This window comes from Homo sapiens, chromosome 19 (genome assembly GCF_000001405.40).
Source record: "Homo sapiens chromosome 19, GRCh38.p14 Primary Assembly".
Classification (NCBI taxonomy): domain Eukaryota; kingdom Metazoa; phylum Chordata; class Mammalia; order Primates; family Hominidae; genus Homo; species Homo sapiens.
In genome coordinates this window covers 46,490,899-46,496,638 of record NC_000019.10, presented here as the reverse complement: position 1 = coordinate 46,496,638, position 5,740 = coordinate 46,490,899, and the positions used below count along the sequence as shown (strand labels likewise).

The window sequence follows — 5,740 nt, the reverse complement described above, 5'->3', positions numbered from 1 at the left end:
ACAAGGGACAGAGAAGCAAATGCATGTTTACAGTAGCTATGACTGACGTTCACACGCCCCAGTCTGCTGTCCCAGTCAAGGGAAATGCTTTCTTGCAAAATTCATGCCTGGTCTCACAATCATACATATGCTCAAAGCGTGTGCAAAACCACAGGATTTATTGTGCATGCATAGTTCAGAATACAGGAACGTGTATGGGAGTGAGGGCCGGTCCCATCGAGTGGGGCCTGTACCCTGCAAGTGAGGCCCATATACCCTGAATGGTGTCTTGCTCACAGGTGGTGCCTGGGCCCCCCTATTTGATACTGAGACCCATATACTGTGAATGAGGCCAGTATCCCGAGTAAGTCCTGGTCCTACGCTGCAAGGCCAGTGCCCTTTGATTTAGGCCTATATAATCCTGAATTCCACCTGGCCCCTGGAAGGGGGAATTGTAACCCCCAGTGATGCCGGTACCCTCTGGAAGGAGGCCTCTATCCCCTGAATGAGGTCGGGTATCCTTGAGTGATTTCTGGCCCTCTGTGGTTTCGGCCTTGTTTTTTGCTGGTTAATGAAAGTGGTGCTTCCAGGCCCCAAGTCCTTGTCATCGGGACCTTTAAGAAAAGCGTCTCAGGCCACAGCGACGCAGACCCCAGCTCAAGGCTGCACCGTTGCCATGGAGACGGTTGGGCGGGGGACAGGGGAGGGTGTGCGGCTCCCTCTGCGCAGGCGCACGCGCGAGCAGCCGCGTCGCAGCGGAACTGCTGAGATTCAGGCCCAGGGTGCGCGCTCAGACGCGGCGCGAGCGCCAGGCAAGCTGCGGCTGCTACCTCCCACGCCTCTCCAGGTGCACTCGGCGCCGCCCCCCTGCACCTGGCTGCGGTGCCGAGTCACTCAGGCCTGTGTCAGGGAGAGAGGGAGGGAGCTGTCCTGGAAAGCAGACACGTAAGCCCCCCGCGGATCCTCAGACAGCTCTGGAGAGGGGTCCCGGGGGAAGGTCACTGCGTCCAGCCGGCCAGCAGGCAGCTAGAGCCCCCGAGCCCCGAGCCCCACTCCAGCCTTGCCACATTCACCGGAACCGGGACTCTAAGCCCTGCAAGTGGCTTTCTAGGGTTGCATTGACACCGTGCGCTGCAGCCCACCCCTATCTCGGGCTCCCTGCTGCCCCAAGATCAGCGCCAAGGGGGCTGCACCATGGCCATGAGCCTTTTGCAGGACTGGTGCCGGAGCCTGGACGTGGACGCGCACAGGGCCCTGCTGGTCACCGGCATCCCGGAGGGCCTGGAGCAGGCAGACGTCGAAGCCGTCCTGCAGCCGACCCTCCTGCCCCTGGGCACGTTCAGGTTGCGACACATGAAGGCTTTGATGAACGAGAAGGCCCAGGCCGCCCTGGTGGAGTTTGTGGAGGACGTCAATCACGCTGCCATTCCCAGGGAGATCCCAGGCAAGGATGGGGTCTGGAGGGTTCTGTGGAAGGACCGTGCGCAGGACACGAGGGTCCTGAGGCAGATGAGACGCCTGCTGCTGGATGACGGGCCCACGCAGGCCGCGGAGGCTGGGACCCCCGGGGAGGCACCCACCCCTCCCGCTTCGGAGACGCAGGCCCAGGATTCTGGGGAGGTAACAGGGCAGGCTGGCTCGCTTCTTGGGGCAGCCAGGAACCCAAGGAGGGGCCGTCGGGGTCGCAGAAACAGAACCAGACGCAACAGGTTGACCCAGAAGGGCAAGAAGAGAAGCCGAGGAGGACGGCCGTCTGCTCCCGCGAGGAGTGAGGCCGAGGACTCTTCCGACGAGAGCCTGGGCATCGTGATCGAGGAGATCGACCAGGGCGACCTGAGCGGAGAAGAGGACCAGAGCGCGCTGTACGCCACGCTGCAGGCCGCTGCCAGGGAGCTGGTTAGGCAGTGGGCGCCCTGCAACTCCGAGGGGGAAGAAGACGGTCCCCGCGAGTTCTTGGCTCTGGTCACCGTCACCGACAAATCGAAGAAAGAAGAGGCAGAGAAGGAGCCAGCTGGGGCCGAATCCATCCGCTTGAACACCAAAGAAGACAAAAATGGTGTCCCCGACTTAGTGGCCCTGCTGGCTGTGAGAGACACCCCGGACGAGGAGCCGGTGGACAGCGACACTTCGGAGAGCGACTCGCAGGAAAGTGGGGACCAAGAAACAGAGGAGTTGGATAATCCTGAGTTCGTGGCCATTGTGGCCTATACCGACCCGTCGGACCCCTGGGCCCGGGAGGAGATGTTGAAAATCGCTTCTGTTATCGAGTCGCTGGGCTGGAGCGACGAGAAAGACAAGCGAGACCCCCTCCGACAGGTCTTGTCCGTCATGTCCAAGGACACTAACGGGACCCGCGTGAAGGTGGAAGAGGCGGGCCGCGAGGTGGACGCCGTGGTCCTGCGCAAGGCCGGGGATGACGGGGACCTCCGGGAGTGCATTTCCACCTTGGCGCAGCCGGATCTCCCTCCCCAGGCGAAGAAGGCTGGGCGTGGCCTCTTCGGGGGCTGGAGCGAGCACCGTGAGGACGAAGGGGGTCTTCTGGAGCTGGTGGCGCTCCTGGCTGCCCAGGACATGGCGGAGGTGATGAAGGAGGAAAAAGAAAACGCCTGGGAAGGCGGGAAGTACAAATACCCCAAAGGCAAACTGGGGGAGGTATTGGCGCTCCTGGCCGCCCGGGAGAACATGGGGTCCAACGAGGGGTCGGAGGAGGCTTCGGACGAACAGTCCGAGGAGGAGTCGGAGGACACCGAGAGCGAGGCGTCGGAGCCGGAGGACAGGGCATCCAGGAAGCCCCGGGCCAAGAGGGCGCGCACGGCCCCCAGGGGCCTGACTCCGGCCGGCGCGCCTCCCACCGCTTCCGGGGCCCGCAAAACCCGCGCGGGCGGCCGAGGCCGAGGCCGGGGCGTCACTCCCGAGAAGAAAGCCGGGAGCCGGGGCTCGGCCCAGGACGACGCCGCAGGAAGCAGGAAGAAGAAGGGGAGCGCGGGCGCCGGGGCCCATGCCAGGGCAGGCGAGGCCAAGGGCCAGGCGCCCACTGGATCCAAGGCCGCGCGCGGGAAGAAGGCCCGTCGGGGCCGGAGGCTGCCCCCTAAATGCCGCTAGTGGCCCCCCAAGAAGCCGCCCAGGCTGCGAGCAGGCCCCGCAGGGCACCCGCCCGCCTGTGGCCCCCGCCCTCCCCTCCCCTCTTCCTGTCCTCCGCAGACGCAATCTCCTCGCTTCACAGCGCGCCCGGGCCGCGTTTTGCCAGCGTCACGTTCCCCTCTCGGGCCCTCGCAGGCCGGGGGCGCCAGCGATCCCGACGGAGGAAGCCCGGATGGGAGGAGGAAAGAGAAGTGGGCGCCCGAGGCAGCAGCGCAGGGCCGAGATGGGGACGCGCCAAGTGGACCAGGATTGGGGGCCCGGGTTGCCCCCGGAGGGGGTGTGTGTGTGGACGCCGGGCACCTGCAGAGGCGAGCAGGGCTCTTCGTGGCGCTCTCGGGGCCTGCGCCTGGCAGGTGCTGTAGGCCGCTGTCGCCCCTACCCCAGTCTGACTGGGCCCTGGGTCTGTGGTGGAGGCTCAGTCACCAGCCGCGCAGCGCGTGTCAGGGCGCAACTCTCAGCCAGGGGAGGCCCCAGCTCCCAGCCAGGGGAAGAGATGATTCCAGAAAGGAAAGTCTGAGAGATAGAAGGCGGTTGGGAAGGGGAGGAGGAGGAAAGGGGAGAGGAACGGTGGGAGAAGGGAAAGAGGAGGAGGAGGGGGAGGGGGGAGCAGAGGGAAGACACATGCCAGCCCTGCCTACTGGGGCGCCCCTGATAACAAAGGAACCAGCCCCAGGCCAAGGCCACCTGCCCCTGACCACAAGTTGAATTTGTCACTCAGACTGCAGTGTTTCCCAACATTCTAATTATTTGCAGAGGTGTTCAATTTGGGGTAATTCACTTAAAATCCAGTTTTGGTTCTTCTGGGCTGAGTGGGCCCTGGCCCCTCCCATAGGCTGTGGCTCCCCTGGGTGCCCCCTCTCCAGTGGAGCTGACCCACCGCTCAGCGCTGGCCTTGCAGCCCTTACTAAAAGACTTGAAAGTCCCTGGGTTCACCCCCTGAGTGAATTAAAGGCCAGAGGGGCCCCGAAGGGCACTGTGAGGGACAGAGGCTCACCTGGGCAGTGCAGAAGCCGGCCGCGTGTCCCTCCTTACAGGGGATGAAATGACCTGGGGAGGAAACCCCAGCCCTGCCCTGGAGGTTCCAGAGTAGGCGGGCCGGTGCTGTGAGGCTTCACAACCTGCTGTCCCAAGCACGCTTGAGTTGTATGTGAGTCTGTGCCGTGCCGTGCCGTATGCTTCAGCTCCTGCAACCCCGGCTGAGCTCGATTTTTACCTAAATATCAGTCTCCACGGGACCCCACCTTCATTCATGCCTTCTTGTCCCTGGGGCAATGTGTGTGCTTCCTCGTCCCAATTTCCATTCCCTGGCAGTGAGGAGCCCATCGTGCCAGGGGGCCCTGCCCCACTTGTCCCTGGGAAGGAATAGGAGGGTTTGGGTGTGACCTCACAGTCCAGACCAGACTGTCCCAGTCCTATGTCAGGGACACCCAGATGTAGAAGCTGACTGAGACCTGCTGCAGGGCGTGGGTGCTCCCCTCTGCTTGGAGGCTGTCCCTGGACAGTGACCCACCCACTGAGGACCAGGCTGGGTGTACCTTGAGCTGGGCACAGCAGCCTGTGGTGTTGCCTGTGGGTGGGGAGGGCCCCAGGTGTGCTTCTCCCGTAGCAGTCCTAGGCTTCTCTCCCTGTGCCCTGTGTCACCTGGATCCTCCAGTAAAGTGAAATTCAGCACTGTACTCTCTCTGTGCTCTGGGCAGTGGGGCAGGCGGGGTGTGGGAGCGTGGGCCACAGATGTCCACGGTCTTGACTGTGGTTTGCCCAGAATACCTGGGAACTGTCCTGTCACTGGTTTACATACACTGTCCTTTGCTGCTTCGGGATCCCTGCCTGGCTCTCCCTACCCCCCAGCATCATCTCACCCCTTGCAGATCTGAGCCAGCTTCCACTCCCACCCCTGATGCCTCCCCACTTCCAGCCTCAGCTCCGAAGCCCCTGGACACCCATGGAGACCCCGCCCAGCCAATCCCCACCCTAGCTTCCACCCAGATACACTCTGCCAGGCCACAGCTGCAGGCACTCTCCCCCCAGCCTCCACCCCTCACCTGTGCCCTGGACCTCAGACTCAGCTTTCCATCCTACCTGAGTTTTCTGCCTCCCTCCATCCTGTGTCCCCCCACCATACATGGCTGCCAGAGACGTCCTCTTAGAAGTCACACCTGGGGTCTGATTGCGTCCCTCGCCTCCCCAGATCCCCCAAGGTCTCCTTCCTGTGCCGTCATATCTGCAGTTCTTAGGACTGTCTAGACATGCTTTGTTCAACTAGGTAATCACACGGGGTAAATTGGATTTAAATGTAATTAAGATTAAATAAAAATACACATGCATGTCCTCAGTCTTCCCAGCCACGTCACAAGTGCTCAAGAGCCACACGTGGCCAGTGGCTACCGCATTGCACGGTGCTGGTGCAGGACATGGCCATCGCATGCAGCTCTCCCTCGCAGCTCAGGTCTACACACTCCACCCCCATCTCACCCTCTGCCTTGTTTCCCACTGCCCTCTCTGTGTCTCCTGTGGCTTCAGCCACCCAGGTCTCTGGGACACACCAGGCATATTCCTGCCTCATGGCCTTTGCACTGCTCTTCCTGCAGCCTGGAGTGCCCTTCCTTGGGCTATAGGCGTG

General features: G+C 62.5%; 1 protein-coding gene across 1 annotated transcript; it reads left to right on the top strand.

Annotated features, from left to right (window-relative positions):
* The first annotated feature begins 771 nt into the window (after window positions 1-771).
* PNMA8B (PNMA family member 8B) lies at window positions 772-5,448 on the top strand. Its single transcript, NM_020709.3, has one exon. The coding sequence runs from the start codon at window positions 1,174-1,176 to the stop codon at window positions 3,079-3,081; it is 1,908 nt and encodes a 635-aa protein (NP_065760.1). The 5' UTR covers window positions 772-1,173; the 3' UTR covers window positions 3,082-5,448.
* The last annotated feature ends 292 nt before the right edge of the window (window positions 5,449-5,740 follow it).

Bases quoted from the DNA above. Each gene is read 5' to 3' on its own strand.
- PNMA8B (NM_020709.3), top strand. From the start codon at position 1,174: ATGGCCATGAGCCTTTTGCAGGACTGGTGCCGGAGCCTGGACGTGGAC.